The sequence below is a fragment of the Homo sapiens genome, chromosome 8, assembly GCF_000001405.40.
Source record: "Homo sapiens chromosome 8, GRCh38.p14 Primary Assembly".
Classification (NCBI taxonomy): Eukaryota; Metazoa; Chordata; class Mammalia; order Primates; family Hominidae; genus Homo; species Homo sapiens.
The window spans coordinates 77,570,353-77,589,853 of NC_000008.11; positions in this window are offsets into that span (position 1 = coordinate 77,570,353).

The window sequence follows — 19,501 nt, forward strand, 5'->3', positions numbered from 1 at the left end:
CTAAGTAATCTCTTTCAAGTTCAAACTTCCTAGATCTCTAGGACAAGGGCAAAATGCTGCCAGTTTTTTCACTAAAGCATAGCAAGAGTGATCTTTGCTCAAGTTCCCAATTAATGTTTCTTCTACATCTGAGACTGCCTCAGCCTGGACTTCATTGTCTATATCACTATCAGCATTTTGGTCACAACCATTTAACAAGTCTCTAGGAAGTCCCAAATTTTTCCTCATCTTGCTGTCTTCTTCTGATCTCTCCAAATGGTTTCAATCTCTGCCCATTACCCAATTCCAACGTTGCTTCCATATTTTCAGGTATCTTTGTAGCAGTGCCCCAAACTCCTGGTACCAACTTTCTGTATTAGTCTGTTTTCACACTGCTATAAAGAACTACCTAAAACTGGGTAACTTACAAAGAAAAGAGGTTTAATTAACTCACAGTTCCACATGGTTGGGGTGGCCTCAGGAAACTTACCATCATGGCAGAAGGCAAAGGGGAAGCAAGCCCTTACGTGGCATCAGGAGAGAGAGAGAAAAAGTACCATACTTTGAAACCATCAGATCTCATGAAAACACACTCACTATCACAAGTACAGTATGAGCAATACTACCCCCATGATCCAATCACCTACCACCAGGTTACTCCCATGACATGTGGTGATTACAATTTGAGATGAGATTTGGGTTGGGACACAGAGCCAAACCATATCAGTTACAGGTAGCAACTATGTGGAAACATTTTCAAAACAGCTTTTTAAAAACATCATAAAAAACAGAGGCTTTTGAAAATTTTTACCATTGTCTTTATATTTTCTTCAGAGCTTGCATTTTTTCCTGTTAATTAACTTATCCACATAACAATGAAATATAGTTAGCCCATAGTGGACATTTACTAAATGCTTCCTTAGAAATATTGAAAACAAAGGAATTAATTATATACAAAATAATTTAAGTATATTTTTTCTTTTGTATACATCAAGCATTTTTACAAAATTAATATCCTCTAATATTTGCTCACATTAATTAACATCAGCAACATATACCTAAAAACCTAGAAAAACTTAAAGGATTAATATAAGCTAAATCTTTTCAAAAAATTGTATGAATGTTATCTGATTATATCAAAAAACCCAAGTATATTTATCAAATACAATGATGTAAATGCCAACAGTACATGTTAACATGATTTTTCAACAAATTTATGCTGTTTTTCCCTCAAATACAGAAAAACATACTTTGAACACTTAAATTATTTTAATTTTCAAATTCTAATGTAGTTTGCTAAATATAATTAATAAAACCAACCTTATCTTATTATAGTAAATATTTTAAGAGACATTTTTTCTCTGCATTTTATGTTTTTTTTTCAGAATAACATTAGAATTTCACATGTGCTCTATAGAACTCTTTAGAATTTCACTTCGAACATACATTACAAAATATAAATTCTAAAAGTTGACAATTATAATTATTCTTTTGTTTAAGTCTTGTATCCATTTTGAGTGAATTTTTTATATGGTATTATCTCACACATGCTAGAATCACTATTATAAAAAAATAGGAATATAAGTTTTGGTGAGGATGTAGAGAAAGGGAAACTCTTGTACACCGTTGGTGGGTATATAAATTAGTAAATCCATTATGTGAAATAAGGAAGTTTCTCAAAAACCTAAAAATAGAATTATCATATGAACCAGAAACTCAACTACTAGGTATGTCAAAGGAATTTTATTAGTCTATTTTCATACACATATAAAGAAATACCTGAGACTGGGTAATTTATAAAGAAAAATAAGTTTAATGGACTGACAGTTTCACATGGCTGGGGAGGCCTCATAAACATGATGAAAAGTAAAGAAGGAACAATGGCAAGTCTTACATGACAGCAGAAAAAAGAGCATGTACAGAACTGCTCTTTATAAAACCATCAGAACTCGTGAGACTTACTCATTATCATGAGAACAGGATGGCATAAACCTGCCCGCATGATTCAATTATTTCCCACCAGTTCCCTCTCAAAACATGTGGGGATTATGGGAGCTACAATTCAAGATGAGATTTGGGTGGAGGCACAGCCAAACCATATCAGGAATTGAAATTAGTATGTTGATGAGATAGCTACATTCTTATGTTCATTGTAGCATTTTTCAAAATATTCAAGATATTGAATGAAACTAATTGTCTATTAACAGATTAATGGATAAAGAAAATGTGGGGCTGGGCATAGTAACTCACACCTGTAATTCCAGCATTTTGAGAGGCTGAAGTGAGAGGATAAATTGAGGCCAGAAGTTCAAGATCAGCCTAGTCAATATAGTGAGACTCAGTCTCTACAAAAAAATAAGAAAAACTTAGCCAGGCATGGTGGTACATGCCTGTAGTCCCAGCTACTCAAGAGGCTGAGGTAGGAGGATCACTTGAGCCTCAGAATTTGGGACTGCAGTTAGCTATGATCAGTCTACTGCACTCCAACCTAGGTAACAGAGCGAGATCCTCTCTCTCTAAAATAAATAAATAAATAAATAAATAAAATAAACTGTCTATATACACAATGGACAACTACTCTTAAATTTCCTCTTAAAAAGGAGGAAATTATGTCATTTGCAAAAATATTGATTCACCTAGAAGACATTATGCTAACTGAAATAAGGTGGGTACAGATAGACAAATACTGCATGATCTTACTTACATGCAGAATCTGAAAAAGTCAAAATCCTAGAAGTAGAGAGTCGAATGGTAGTTACCAGAGGCTAACGGTCAGGGGTATGAGAAAAGAGTAGATGTTATTCAGAGAGTACAAATTTTCAGTTAGACAGAAGGAATACGTTTTAGTGATCTATTGCACAGCATGGTGATGATAGTTTTTTATAATGTATATCTTAAAATACTAAATGAGTACATTTTAAATGCTCTCATCATTCAAATATTAACAAATGTATGAGGTGATGAATTTAAATTATTGTTTTAGCCATTACACAATGTATACATATATCAAAACATCAAATTGGACTCCCTAAATATGTGCAATTAGGTTTGTTTTGAGAGGAGACAGAGCAGTTTAGCCAAATAGAAGCTTCCACTGATTCGCTTCCCTGCAGGAGCATCAAATTGAACAACTATCCACATAAGAAGTACCTTAATAAGAACCAAAAATCAGGTGAGTAATCACAGTACCTGGTTTTAACTTCTTATCATTGAAAGAGGCACTGAAGAGGGTAGTAAAGACAGTTCTGAATTGCTGATGCTACCCTTCCTCCATCCCCTGGCAGCAGCCATGTAGCATGGAGAATCTGTGGTCTTAGGGGAAGGAGAGCAAAGTGATTGTGGGAGTTGGCACTGGAATTCACTATTGCTCTGTCAAAGCAGAATACAACACAGAGCAGAACTCAGACAGCACCCACAAAGGAAATAATTAGAACAGCCCTAGCCAGAGGGAAATCACCCATCCCAGAAGTCAGAACCTGAGTTTTGGCAAGTCTCACTACTGTGGGCCAAAGTGCTCTAGAATTCTAAATAAACTGGAAAGGCAGTCTAGGCCACAAAAACTGAAATTCCTGGAAAAGTCCTGGTGCTGTGCTGGACTTAGAGTCAGTGGATTTGAGTGGCACATGACACAGTGAGACACCAGACAGGGAGGCCAAGAGAGTCCTTGAGTCACTCCTACCCCAACCCCAGACAACGGAGTTGCTGGCTTTATGTGTGATCCAGCACATTTCAAGTTGTGGTGGAAAGAATCCTTTTGCTTGAGAAATCAAAAGACTAAAAGGGACTTTGTCTTTTAGTTTACTTACAAGGTTGGCCACATGGGGGTAAAGCACCAAGCAGGCTCTTGGAGGCCCTGATTGTAGGCCTTGGCTTTTGGATGGCATTTCTAGACCTTCCCTGAGCCAGAGCGGGAGAACTCACTGCCCTAAAGGGAGAGTCCAAGGCCTGGCAACATTCACTACAAGCTGACTAAAGAGCCCTTAGCTTGTTGAAAGAATGTTGGTGGTAGCCAAGCAATACTTACTGTGGGCCTGGGGTGGAGGTGGTCATAGGGAGTGACTCCTCTGCTTGTGAAAATGGGAAGGAAGAGTGGAAAGGACTTTGTTTTCTGGCTTGGATGACAGCCCAGCCCAGCTGACTAGAGAATCAGGTAGATACCTAAGGTTTCCAACTCCAGGCCCTGGCTCCCAGATAGCATATCTGGACCCACGAAGTACTGGGGGAAATTTACCACCCTGGAAGAAAGGAAACAAGCCTGGCTGGCTTTACAAAATGCTGATTTTAGAGCCCTAGGACCTTAAGTGAACATAGGCAGTAGCCAGGCAGTGGTTGCCATGGCCCTCGTGTGAGACCGAATGCTGTTCTGGATTCAGGCCTGCCCGGCACGGTCCCAGTGGTAGTGGCCACAGGGGTCATTATGTCACCTCTCCCATAGCTCCAGACAGCTCAGTACAGAGAGAAAGACTCAGTTTGTTTGGGAGAATGTGGGGAAGAGAACAAGAGTCTGTGCCTGGTAATCAAGAAAATTCTTCCATGTCTATCCAAGACCACCAAGTCAGCACTTCTACAAATCCACAAGAGCCACAGCATTACTCAGCTTGGGGTGCCCGTAATGCAAATGTGGTTGTACTGACAAAAAATTTAGATTACAACACCTAAGTCCTTTTTAATATACCTGGAAAGCCTTCGCAAGAAGAATGTGTAGAAATAATATATCAGAGTCTCTTACCAACAAAACGAATCAAGCAGAAGAAAGAATTAGTGAGCTTGAAGGCTAGCTATTTAAACATACAAAGAGGAAACAAAAAGCAAAAGAAGAAAAAAGAATAAAGCACATCTACAAGGCATAGAAAATATATAAGAGTTACTGTCCTTAAAAGGGCAAATATAAGAGTTACTGTCCTTAAATTGGCGGTAGAGAGAGAGATAGGGGTAGAAATATTAATTAAAGTGATAATAACAAAGAACTTCCCAAACCTAGAGAAAGATATCAATATACAAGTAGAAGAAAGTTATAAAACAACAAGCAAATTTAACCCAAATGGGAATATCTCAAGGCATTTAATAATTAAACTTCCAAAGGTCAAAGATAAAGAAAGGATAATAAATACAGTAAGAGAAAAGAGACAAATAGGATACAATGGAGTTCCAGTACATTTGGCAGCAGACTTCTCACTGGATTCCTTAAAGAACAGAAGAGAGTGGCATGATATATTTAAAGTACTGAAGGAAAAAAATCTTTTATCTTAGAATGGTATATGCTGTGAAAATATCCTGCAGACATGAAAGAGAAAGACTTTCTCAGATAAGGAATAGCTAAGGGATTTAATTTGTCTTTCCTGTAAGAAATGCTAAGGGGAACTCTTCAATATGAAATAAAAGGACATTAATGACCAATAAGAAATCATCTGAGGGTACAAAATTTGCTGATAATAAGTATACAGAAAAACACAGAATATTAGAACACTGTAATTGTGGTGGGTAAACTACTTATTCTTGAGTAGAAAGATAATAACGTATATTTTAAAGAACTATAACAACCTTTAAAGACATAGGCAGGATAATAATAAATAAATAGAAACAAAAAAAGTTTAACAGTGGAGGTGGGTATAGAGGTAAAGGGCAGAGGTTGTATTAGTTTTTTATTTGCTTGTTGGTTAGTTAGTTTATTCAATCAGTGTTAAGTTCTCATAAGTTTAAGATAACGAGATATAAGATATTATTTGAAAGTCTCGTGGTAACCTCAAATCAAAAAATTTCAACATATACACAAAAAATAAAATGCAAGAAATTAAAATATACACCAGTGAAAATCACGTTTACTAAAAGGAAGGCAGGAAGGAAGAAAAGAAGGAAGAGCAAACCACAAAACAATCAAAAAACAAATAATAAAATTTCAGGAGTAAGTCCTTATTCATCAGTAATAACATTAAATGTGAATAGACTAAACTCTCCAGTTGAAAGACAGAGTGGCTGAATGGATTAAAAAAGAAAGATCTAATAATCTGTTGCCTACAGGAAACATACTTCACCTATAAAGACACAAACAGACTAAAAATAAAGGAATAAAAAGCAAATGAGATCAATAAACAGCAGGAGTAGCTAGCTATACTTAGACAATATAAATTTCAAAACAAAAACTATCAAAAGAGACAAAGAGGCTTGTTATGTATTGACAAAGAGGTCAATTCAGCAAGAGAACATAACAATTGTACATGTATATAAACCCAACACTGAAGCACCCAGAAATATAAAACAAATATTATTAGCACTAAAGAGGGAGATAGACCCCAATACCATAATAGCTGAAGACTTCAACATCTCACTTTCAGCATTAGAGAGATCATCTAAACAGTAAACCGACAAAGAAATATTGGAATTAATATGCACTATAGACCAAATTGATATAATAGATATCTATAGAGCATTTAATTCAACAGCTGTAAAATACACATACTTCTTCCAAGCACTTGAATCATTCCCAAGGATATGCCATATGTGAGGTAACAAAACAAGTCACAAAACATTCAAATAAATTGAAATAATATCAAGTGTCTTCTCTGACCATAATGTAATAAAACTGGAATTTTGGAAACTATACAAACACATGGAAATTACACAGTATGTTTCTGAATGACCAGTGGGTCAATGATAAATTAAGAAGATTAAAAACCTCTTGAAACAAATGAAAATAAAATCACAATATATCAAAACCTATGTAATATAGCAAAAGCAGTACTAGGAGGGAAGTTTATAGCTATAAGTAACTGCATCAAAAATTAGGAAACTTCAAGTAAACAACCTAATAAAGCACTTTAAGGAACTAGAAAAGCAAGAACAAGCCAAACCCCAAATTAGCATATGAAAAAACATCAGAGCAGAAATAAATAAAATTTAAATGAAGAAAACAATGCACAAGATCAATGAAATAAAAGTTGGTTTAGAAAAGACAAAATTTTAAAAAAGATCTTTAGTCAGACTAAGAAAAAAAAAGAGAAGACCCAAGTAAATTAAATCAGAAATGAAAAAGAAGACATTGTAGCTGATACTGCAGGGATTTAATGGATCATTAGAAGTTATTATGAGCAACTATATGCCAATCAACTGGAAAACCTAGAGGAAATGGATAAATTTCTAGACAGATATGACCTACAAAGATTGAACCATGAAGAAATCCAAAACCTTGAACAGACCAATAACAAGTAAAAATTGAAGCCAACAAGTATTGAATAGACCAATAGCAACAAATAAGATCGAAGCCATAGTAAGAGTCTCTCAGCAAAGAAAAGCCCAGGACCTGATGGCTTCACTCCTGAGTTTTAACAAACATTTAATGAAGAAATAATACCAGTTTAAATCAAGCTATTCCAAAAAATAAAGAAGGAGGTTATACTTACAAAGTCATTCTACAAAGCCAGTATTACCCTGATACTAAATCCAGACAAAGACACACACACACACACACACACAAAACCGGTAAGCCAATATCCCTTATTAACATTGATGCAAAAATCCTTAGAAACACCATATGATCATTTCAATAGATGCTGGAAAAACTGTCAGTACAATTTAATATTCCTTCATGATAACCCCCCACCCCCCAAAAAATGGCATAGAGGGAACATATCTTAACATAATAAAAGCCATATAAGGCAGACCCACAGCTAGTATCATACTGAATGGGGAAAAACTAAAATCCTTACCTCTGAGATATGGAATACAACAAGGATTCCAATTTCCACCAGTGTTATTCAACATAGTACTGGAAGTCCTAGATAGAGCAATCAGACAAGTGGAAAAACTAAAGGGCATCCAAACTGGAAAGAAAAAAGTCAAATTATCCTTAGTTGCAGATGATACAACTGTTTATTTGGAAATGCTAAAGACTCTGTTAAAAAAAAAACCATTAGAACTGATAAATTCAAGAAAGTTTCAGGATACAAAATTGACATACAAGAATCAGTAGCATGTCTATATACCAAGAGTTAACAATCTAAATTGAAAATCAAGAAAGTAATCCCATTTATAATAGCAACAAATAAAATTAAATACTTAGAAATTAAGCAAAAAAAGTGAAAGAGTTCTACAATGAGAATGGTAAAACATTGATGAAAGAAACTGAAGAGAACACACAAAAAATGGAAAGATATTTCATGTTCATGGATTGGAAGAATCAGTGTTGTTAAGATGTTTATACTGCCCAAAGCAATCTACAGATCAATGCAATCCCTATCAACATACCAATTAAATTTTTTACAGAAATGAAAAAAAAAATCCTAAAATTTATGTGAAACCCAAAAAGACCCAGAATAGTCAAAGTTATCATGAGCATAGAGAACAAAACTGGAGAAATCAGATTACCTGATTTTAAATTATACTACAGAGCTATAGTAACCCAAACAGCATAATACTGGCATAAAAACAGACATATAAACAAATAGAACTGAATAGAGTACCCAGAAACAAATCTACACGTCTATATTGAACTCACTTTCAACAAAGTTGCCAAAAACATACACTGGGGGAAAGGACAGTCTCTTCAAAAATAGATGATGGGAAAACTGGACAGCCATATGCAGAAAAATTATACTAGATCCCTATCTCCTGTCATACATAAAACCAAATCAAAATGGACTGAAAACTTAAGTCAAAGACCTGAAACTATGAAACTACTAAATAAAACATTGGGTGAATTCTCTAGGACACTGGGCTGGGCAAATATTTCTTGAATAACACCCCGTAAGCACAGGCAACCAAAACAAAAATGGACAAATGGGATCATATCATGTTGGGTTAATAACCAGAATATATAAGGATCTCAAATAAGACTACAGGAAAAAAACCTAATGATCTGATTAAAAATGAGCAAAATCTCTGAATAGACATTTCTCCAAAGAAAACAGATGGATGGCAAACAGGTATATAAAAACATACTTAACATCATTGATCATCAGAAAAATGTGAATCAAAAGTACAATGAGATATCATCTTACCCCAGTTAAAATTGCTTTTATCCAAAACATAGGCAATAATAAATGTTAGCATAGATACGGCAAAAAGGGAACACTAGTATATTGGTGGTGATAATGTAAGTTAGTAAAATTACTATGGAGAACATTCCATTTCTCACCAGAAACTGCCTCAAAAAACTAAAAGTGAAACTTCCATAGCCAGCAATGCCACTCGTAGGTATGTGTCTAAAAGAAAGGAAATCGATATATTATACAGATATCTGCATTCCTGTGTGTTTTGCAACACTATTCCCAATAGCCAAAATTTGGAAGCAACTTAAGTTTCCATCAACAGATGAATGAATAAATGTGGTACATATACACAATGGTGTACTATTCAGCCATAAAATGTATGAAATCCTGTCATTTGCTACAACATGCATGGAACTGGAGGCCATTATGTTAAGTGAAAAATGCCAGCACAGAAAGACAAACTTTGCATGTTCTCATTTATTTTTGGGAACTAAAAATCAAAACATCTGAACTCATGGAGATAGAAAGTAGAAGGATGGTTACCAGAGACCAGTAAGGATAGTGGAGGAGGAGAAGTGGGAATGGTTAATGGATTAAAAAAAAAAAAAAAGTAGTTAGAAGGAATGAATAAGACCTAGTATTTGACAGCACAGCAGGGTGACTACAGTCAACAATAATTTACTGTATATTGTTAAATTACTAAAAGAGGATAAATGAATTGTTTGTAATAAAAAGAAGTATATATGCTTGAGGGGATGGATACCCCATTTACTCTAATGTGATTATTATGCTTTGTTTGCCTCTTATCAAAATATCTCATGTACCTTATAATTATATACACCTACTTTGTACCTGGAAAAATAAAAAATAAGCATATACAATTATTATTTGTCAACTAAAATATTTTAAGAAAGAATCACCCTTCTGTGTTGTTTTGTTTTGATTTTGTTGTTCGAATTACCTTACATTAAATGTTGTGAGCATGTTGCTTTACTTTCATATCTTTTTACCAGTTAATGTGAGCTATTTAGCTTTGGTCACAGTAATTTTTTGTGTTTTTTTTCTCAAACCTGATAACTCTTGTTACACTCATATCAAATAGTATTCTACAATTTTCTTAGTAATCAGTAACTTTTTTAACTTTAAAGGCATTTCACCTCAATAAAATAAAGTAAAATTTACTAAGTATATAACTCAAACTATCCATGTTGAAATAAATGCTAAAGGTAATCATGAAGCAATTTATCCCCTCTCCAGCTTTATTTGTTACTGAACAATGCTCAGGAAAATATCCATTAAGCAGGTACCCTTAAGCTTTGCTCTCATTTTATTGAGCCAAAAACATATGAAATACAGATTTTTAAAAATTAAATTACACTTTTACGAAATTTGATTGGGACTTCTGCAGAATGCCAAAAATACCCTTGTGGAGACATAGACCCACTAGAAAACCACGTGAAAAACATTCCCCTGATGGAGTAGCAAATTGTGTTTGATGAGGATGACTGTTCGGGACTAATAAGAATTAGAACAATTGTCATTTACTAAGCATCATTAGCTTGTCTCTGACTTCTATTATTATATTTCTGAAAGTGGATACATTTCTGCCCACTTTGAATACGTGGAAACAGGTTCTGATAAATTAGGTTATTGACTGAAATCCCATAGAATTATTAAGTGGCAAACTCAGGATTTGTAGGTAGGTCTTTCTGACTCCAGTGTTTATGTTCTTTCTTCCTTTTCCACCAAATACATTTACAAGGTTTTCTTCATGTTTATGAGGTAACACACATGTATTATATATTTTTCAATTATTATAAATGTATTAAATGTAGCATTATATATTTATATTTGCAATTAATAATATTTTAACAACATAAGATTGTATTACATATTGTTTTACAACACACTTTTTTTTCACTGAGCAGTTATCTTGGGTAATGCTTTAAAGGCTTTGAAAGTCTTTCATCTTACAGTGTATCATCATCTAGCAATCCCAGCATTCACGAACTGTGCTTCAGATTTTTTATACTTGCTTTTAAGTAATGTCAGCAAAAGAAAGGGAACTAACACTTATTTATTGTCCATTCTGAAATATTTGGTATTTTAAATATGGAAATAATTCATAAACACCTGTGATATATAAAATATACTCAAATTATGCATATTGATTTGTTATGGAAAGAATTTTAAATGTAAAATTGATTACAGAGATTGGTGGAAATACAATTTCTTAAATAACAAATGTATATTTTATCAGTGGTATATGTACTACTAAATATTTCATATATTTAAAAACTAGATGAAATTCATCTCAGACTTTAGATATATTTTAAGCACCCTTAATATTTTCATTAAGAACTTGACTGAAGTATATGCAACCCCAAATACATTAACAGGTCACATTATTGTAGGTTTCAATAAGTGGGAATAATTTTATTAAAGACATGAACTCATGTATAAGTAGCTGCTTCTAACAATTATATTACTTAAAATGGCTTTGTTTCGAAACTTTTCTATGGGGTCTCAGAGTATTTAAACAGAATGTTAATGAGGGGAGTTTTACAAGGAGAAAAATATAGTGGAAACAAAGTATTTTACTCTTCATTCAGTTTCTTTTTCACTTTTTGATGGCCTTTTTCTTGAAGTCTCGGAAATACTATTAATAATATCAAATAATTTATTTAAATTAAATACACATTAAATATTTTTAAAATTAAATAATAAACGAAATAAAAGAGTTTTGTATCAGAAAGGTTGTAATTTATATTGGTGCTTCAGTTATCTCTTGCTGCCTTACAAACCTCCCAAAATTTAGTGCTTAAAAAAACCCAAACATTATTTATTTGCTTACAATTTTGCAACTTGGCAGCACTTGTCTGGGCCTGTGCTTTATGTGGTTTGGTTGAGGAAACTCAACTAGGGCTGCATGAAGATTTATTTATATATGTGATATCTCAGGTAAGATGACTATCATGGCTAGAGGTTGGCTGAACTTCTTTCTCTTCCTTCTTAGTCGCTCATTCTTCAAGCATCCTTCTTTCCACTCTTGTCTCAGCAGCAATATAGCTGGGCTGCTTCACATGGTGGCTGTTGTTCAAGAGAAAAAAATGTATGAGCTGGCAGGCTACTTAGGCTTAGGGCTTGAACTAACAAAATAACACTTTCTACCGTATTCCATAGGTCTTGGTCAAAACAAATAACAAAGATTGCCAAAATACAAAGGGAGAAGAAATAGAGTCCTCCCCTTTGTGAACAGAACAACATATGCCTACAGGAATGGGACAAGTTTTTGGTAGCTATCTTTGCACAAGATCTATCACAACTGGTTAAAAAATAAGTTCATATTCTTGTTCTGTCAATTGTTAGTTGAGTGATCTTGGGTAAATTTTTTTAACCTCTCTAAGCTTCAGAGTTCCGAACCACAAAAGTAGTATACTGGTAATCTTTATTTCAAAACGTTGTTGTAAGAATTAAGTGACATATATACATACAACATTAAATACATTGCTAGCCACATGTTACATTTCAATAAATGAGAATTATCATAAAAACATAATATGCAATTTTCATTAACCTCAAAACCATTTTAGTATAATTCAGATTTATAGAAGTCACTGGTTTCAGAGAATAGCCTGGGCAAGTAAGATTTAAGTAAATAAAAATGTTTTCATTTTTAGCCCTGAAAAAGTTTGTTTCCATAATAGATTCCCTCTGCATTTTATATGATATCCAGAAGAGTAAGGTTGAAAATTGCAGCATGAAATTGGCAGAGACATATCTGCTTAAAAATATTTGTGTACATATTGCTTGACCAGCATAATTGCTAGGTATTAAATTCAACCACAAAACTATTCAGATGGGTAATTATAAAGAGAAATTAAGAAGACTTTATTTTAACATGTCCAGACATTATTGTAAAATAACACATCAGGGATTATACTAATGCTTTTTCACAAACCAACTACTTCCTAATAAATGAATCTATATAATGGATATGAAATTTTTCTTCTTACTGTATACACATTTTATCAGATGCCTGAGGTCCAAAAAAGTCATTATGAGAATAATCCATTAAAATACAAATTTAATAGATTACATTTTAGTCTCAAGGTTTTCTACTGTTGCCCATCCTATCCCCCCGAATCAAGAAGCCAGATTTTGCTTTTTCTTTGCCTTAGGGAAAACTAGATTAAAAGCAAAAGATGCTTAAAAACAATCACAATTCTTGTCTATTAAAAGCCAACTTTATTGAGAATTTTATGCTATGTTCCTTAAGTGGGAAAAGAGAGTACGAAAAAATAGAATAAAAAGGTAGGAAAGAAAATTTCATCAAAAAATATGAAGAAGATGATGTTTCAGTTTTCTTCATACTTGCCCTGAACCCAGGAAACTGTGTAAGTGGAGAATCCAAAGCCTGATTCTTTTGAGACAGAGTCTTGCTCTGTTGCCCAGACTAGAGAACAGTGGTGTGATCACAGTTTACTGCAGCCTTGGCTTCTCAGGCTCAATGGATCTTCCCACCTCAGCCTCCCAAATAGCTGGGACTACACGAGTCCACCACCATGCCTGCCTAATCGTTGTATATTTTTGTAGAGATGGGATTTCACATGTTGCCCAGGCTGGTCTTGAACTCCTGGGCTCAAGTGATCCTCCCACCTTGGCCTCCCAAATTGCTGGGATTACAGGTGTGAGCCACCATGCCCTGCCAAGAGATCTTGAGTTTTTTCCTTGTGTAGGTCCACATTTTTAGAACATCTGTGATAGTCTCAGATGAGCTACAATGTGTTATATGAGTAAGAGATAACGCTGAGTTTCCTTTAAATGAGAATTTACCGTGAAAGAAAAGGGTAACTTCAGTACAAATCCAAGGCTTGGGTGGTACTGAGGAGACACGGATTCTAGTTCACGGTGCTGCTGAAAATTTGAAGCACTCTCTGAGTGAGGGGACGTGTGCTTAGGAATAACAGCTGTATGTGTGAATGTGGGCTGCAGGATAGGACCCGAGACAGGGAACATGGGCTTTCAGCTTGTGCAGGGTGGGGTACAAGGATATTGCTGCAACAATAGGCAATGCCATGTAAGAGGTATTGACCAGTTCTCAGTAGCAATGCTAAATGTTTTATCAGATGCTATTTTTCTTTCTACGTTGCTTCAAGTGTGTCCTAAGCCTTTGCTCTAAATAAGTCCACTCATTTTTTGATATTTTACTGGATGTGTATGAAGACCAGCATGAAACAACTAGACTTGATGCTATTTGTGTAGAAGGGTCTCACACAAATTACATAGAATATATCAGCTGACTATGATATGATAAAATGAGATTATAATAACAAAAGTACAAATTGAAAGGTGTTACCACACAAAGCATAAAAATTAATTCTCGGTCAGGTGCGGTGGCTCAGGCCTGTAATCCCAGCACTTTAGGAGGCCGAGTTGGATGGATTATTATAGGTCAGGAGTTCTAGACCAGCCTGGCCAACATGGCGAAATCCCACCTCTACTAAAAACACAAAATATTAGCTGGGCATGGTGGCGGGCACCTGTAGTCCCAGCTACTGGGGAGGCTGAAGCAGGAAAATCACTTGAACCTGGGAGGCAGAGATTGCAGTGAGCTGAGATTGCACCCTTGCACTCCAACCTGGGTGACAGAGTGAGATTTTGTCTCAAAAAAAAAATAATTATTCTCACAGAGTCCTGTTGATACATACTAATTTTTAATTTCATTTTATGGTTCAAGACATAGATGTTGAAGTTAGAACACTAGGTCAAGGGAATACATAGGGGCAAGGTTGAAATTTGAACCTAGATTTTAAAAACACCATGATTTATCCACTTAGCTACCTTGTAATATGTATTAAATATTGTATCTTACAATGGTTAGACTTGAAAAACTGTTTATTGATATTATGTAAAGTCAAAAAGTATTCATTTTTATACTCAATTTTTATATTCAATTTAGCTTGTTTTATAACTGATAATGTCTAAGATATATACAAATGTATTTGTGTGTGTATACATAATAAGAAACCAAGCATTTTTTCTATTGGATTCATCTCTTTATCTTAGGCAGTGATATATAGCAGGCATCCAATAAATATTTGAGTTATTAACAATTCAATGAAATGTTTGCAGGCTATTGGGTATTACATATTCATAAATATCCTTTTGATAGACTGTCAGGAAATATGTAAAAAAGTTATCACTGTTTATATCTAGGTTATAGAATTGTGGAATTTTATTATTTTGATTTTAAATTTATTTATATATTAAATATTTTCTTCAACAGGGATATCTTTATCATCAGAAAAATACTAAAAAATATAAATAAAATTACAAATCTAACTTACAACAAAAATCATGTGATAGGAGAAGCAAAACAGAATTTCGGCCACAGGCGTGCAAAAAAATAATCCATGCAATGTCAATTAACTAACTGATTCTCACTATATTGAATACTAGAATAATTTACACTGAAATTCAACGTATCTAATCTGAAAACCTAATGAACCATAGTCTTAAACAATGTTGGACAACTTATTTAGTCCATTTGAGGAAGATTATTTATCTGTTAAGAAAGGAACACTAATGTTGGCCGGGCGCGGTGGCTCAGGCCTGTAATCCCAGCACTTTGGGAGGCCGAGGTGGGCGGATCACGAGGTCAGGAGAGATCGAGACCATCCCGGCTAATACCGTGAAACCCCATCTCTACTAAAAATACAAAAAAAAAAATTAGCCGGGCGTGGTGGCAGGCGCCTGTAGTCACAGCTACTTGGGAGGCTGAGGCAGGAGAATGGCGTGAACCCAGGAGGCGGAGCTTGCAGTGAGCTGAGATTGTGCCACTGCACTCCAGCCTGGGCGACAGAGTGAGACTCCGTCTCAAAAAAAAAAAAAAAAAAAAAAAAAAAGGAACACTAATACACTAATGATGACCAGGCAGGATTTGGGAGAGGTTTAGAGCTGTTTGTAAAAACCTTGTTACATTGTTTAGCATAGAGCAGGCACTCAATATATGCTGCCTACTACTGTTATTATACTTATAAGAAATAGTTAATTCTTTAAAAATGCTTGTATATGTATATATTTATAATAGTAGATATGAAGGCCTTGAAACATCACCAGTCTTGATCTAAAGAGTTAATATTTCTATTACCTTAAATATTGAAGCACATGTTGCTTTTGAATGTTTGCTACCAGTGATTTAACTTCCCGCATCAACTGAGGTACTGGAAAAACTATAGTGTTGAGAGTATATGAAGAAATCATGCTACTTGTTGCTGTATGTGCCCACTTTTAAAAGAAATATTATAAGTCAAAAGCCAGAAATGAATATTTATAAGAAGACATGTTCTGTCTGCATCATCGCACATGGAAATCAATGTCTTTATTTCAATAATTAAATAGTCAAGTAGCCACACATGTTTATTTGAATGTTTAGTACATTTATCTAACTGTATTATGACTTAAATATGCTCATATGGTGAAATGGTTTATTTTACAAACACTCATTTAATTGACTCTGACATTTCACATTCCTGTGTATATAATGCATTGACCTGGACTATGTGATTAATAAAATGTATCGAGTATTTTCTCTATTTCCTATTGTTTCTTTTCAAGGCAGAAAAGGAAATTAAATACCTCAAAACCTTTTCACCTTTGTAATTTTGTAACTTATGCCTTAAAAGAGAGATTTTTTCTTTTCAGTTTAACCTTAGTTACTGAACTATGCATATCAGTTGCAGCTCACATATCTATTAAGAATAGAATAATGTGTTATAGATTAACCAAATGCACATGGAACATTCACATTCTGGTAGTTATAAGTCATAAGTTTCAATGCTCTGACTTTGAACTTACAAGATTTCAGGTACAATTGTACCCTAATTGCAGGATTGTGTTGCTCTTTTATTTCAAGCTTCAGAACTAATGAGAGATAATTATACTGTAAAAAAGACACTCACAAAAAAGGAGAGATTCTCTATGAACAATAGTACCAGATTTTGAACATACAATATGTTTCTTATTCAGACCTGTACTGTCAAGTCCTTGAATACTTAAATTAATGGAATGTTAAAGTACTTACTTGCTCTTTATATGTCTTTCAATGTACTTAAGGGCTCCTTTAGTTTAAAACCTGGTATCTTACATTGGAAATAAGAAGAAACAGATAAGCGCATTTGGGCGATAATTCAGAGTTGATGAGCTTCAACTGATTGGGAGACAAATAAATAAATCACAACAGCAACAAAAATGCACAGCAACTCTATATAGTCAATCATATTTAAAGACCTGGAAGCAAAGCAACACTAAAATGGTCTATTTTGAATAGATGGGCTAATAAGAATATATTCTCTAGACTTAGTGCACCATTATGAACCACAAAAGACATCTTGGGTTTCTGAAAACTAATTCCTGCTGTAAATAGTTCTTTTAATTGTGGTTTATAATATGAGTAATGAAAAAAACTATTTCACGTGAACCATAACCACTACGTAAGATTTCAGAATGGGTCAAGCTTAGGTAACTAACTTTGCAAAGTGATGAATTCCATCCTCCTAGGTTTTCTTGTCTGGAATGCCCTCCATCATCCTACTCTTCATCCTTCCATAGCTCAGGGTCTTCTGAAAGTTTCTGTGAGGTTTTTCTCGATGCTAATGTTTGCCCACCTATTCTGGAACTTTCATAGCAATTTATCACATACAAGAAGCCTGGAACGTAGCTAGGGTTCTGTAAATACTTTTCTTAAGTAAACATAAATAAATGTGCTTTTGGGATACAGGGAGAAAGTCATATTTTGCAGAGTGCTTTATGTGGTCTTGCTTAATAACTATTGATGCCTATCATGTGCTTCATAAACGGTTCACCGAAAAGAACCCAATATCACTTTTGTGGTTTTTCTGCCAAAAATGCATACCCTGAATCTAGTAATGAGAAAACATCAGATAAACCCAAATTGAGGGACATTCTAGAAAACAAATGGCCTGTGCTCTTCAAAATGTTAAGGTCATAAAAGATTTAAAAACATACATTTTAATGGAAATACTGAGAAACTCATCCAGATTAAAGAAGATTAAAGAGACATGACAACTAAATGCGTCAAGTAACTCTGGGTAGAAGTGCAGACCAGGAAACCATTTTTTTTTATAGTGAGAGAAATGGTGACTTTTACTTGAATAAAAAGTGCGTAGCTTATATAATAGTATTATATCAATATTATATCATATATCAGTATATTATGCTATTGATATACTGATATATTATTGATATAATTGATATACATATTAGTATTATATCAATACTATGTACGATATATAGTACAATATAATGTACAATAGTATTATATCAATAATATGCTATATTAGTATTATATCAATATTAATTCCTGGATTTTAATAATTAATAATTATGATGTGGTTCTATAAGAGAATATCATAGTTTTCATAAATACACATTGATGTATTTAGGGGCAAAGGGTCATTATATATGCAAATAGTTCAGGAATCATATATCAGAAACAGTCCAGGAAAACAAAGTACCTGAGCAGGATTGGGAATAGAGAGAGAGAGGGAGAAAAAAAAGCAAATGTGTTAAAATGTTGACATTGGGAAGCTGGATGAGGGGTATAAGGAAATAGTTTAAACTAGTTTATTCAAGTTTTATTAAGCCCGCAATAAATTAAATATAAAATTTTAAATAAAGATTGGTAAGAGCAAGCTAAATTTTATACCTCTTTTCTTAGTTATCACAAAGGAATAACAAACAACGTGCTCTCCTTAAGCCATCCTGACTACTCTAACATCCTGCTTCCACTAAAAATACTGACGGCCAAATTCACAAATAAGAGACAAGATGGAAACTGATTGATTTCACACCGGTAAGGCTGAAATTTAAATGGGTAGTTTTTTGGAAGAGATCCCATTAAGGGAGGGTATTTGGCCATTTATCATAGGTTCATAATGAGTTAATTAGTCAGAACATTTTTTCTTCCATTCATTCAGATACTCATTGTGTATGTATTGTGGTCTGTGTGTGCATTTGTGTTTGTAAATATGGCAGGATTCCATCTCTGCCCTCAAGTTGCTTAACTGAGGGTCACTGCACAAAGCACAATATTTACTGCATAGTTATTGCTACTGCTTCAAGGCACAAGTCAGATATCTTCCAGGAACCTATATTTAAGTTGTCTACTAATTATTCAACTAAATACCTGAATGATATCTGTCTATATTGTGCTCTTACTCTAAGCTCCCACAAAGCTGGCTCTATGAAATACAATTTACTTTTTCATATTCAGATAGAGTTTACTATATATATTTGTGGATTGCAAATATGACATACCTAAGAAGAATAAATATACAGTTTTCCTAGAAAACTAAGGTATCACCAATTTGAAACAATGAACATATCATAAATTAAAGAGTGATCTTTTACATTCAAAAGTACTTCAGTAGATGTTACCCAGCATATTTTCCAAGTCTTAAGTAACATAGACAAAATGCTGGTATCAAAAATTGAGATAATTATAATTTAGTGAA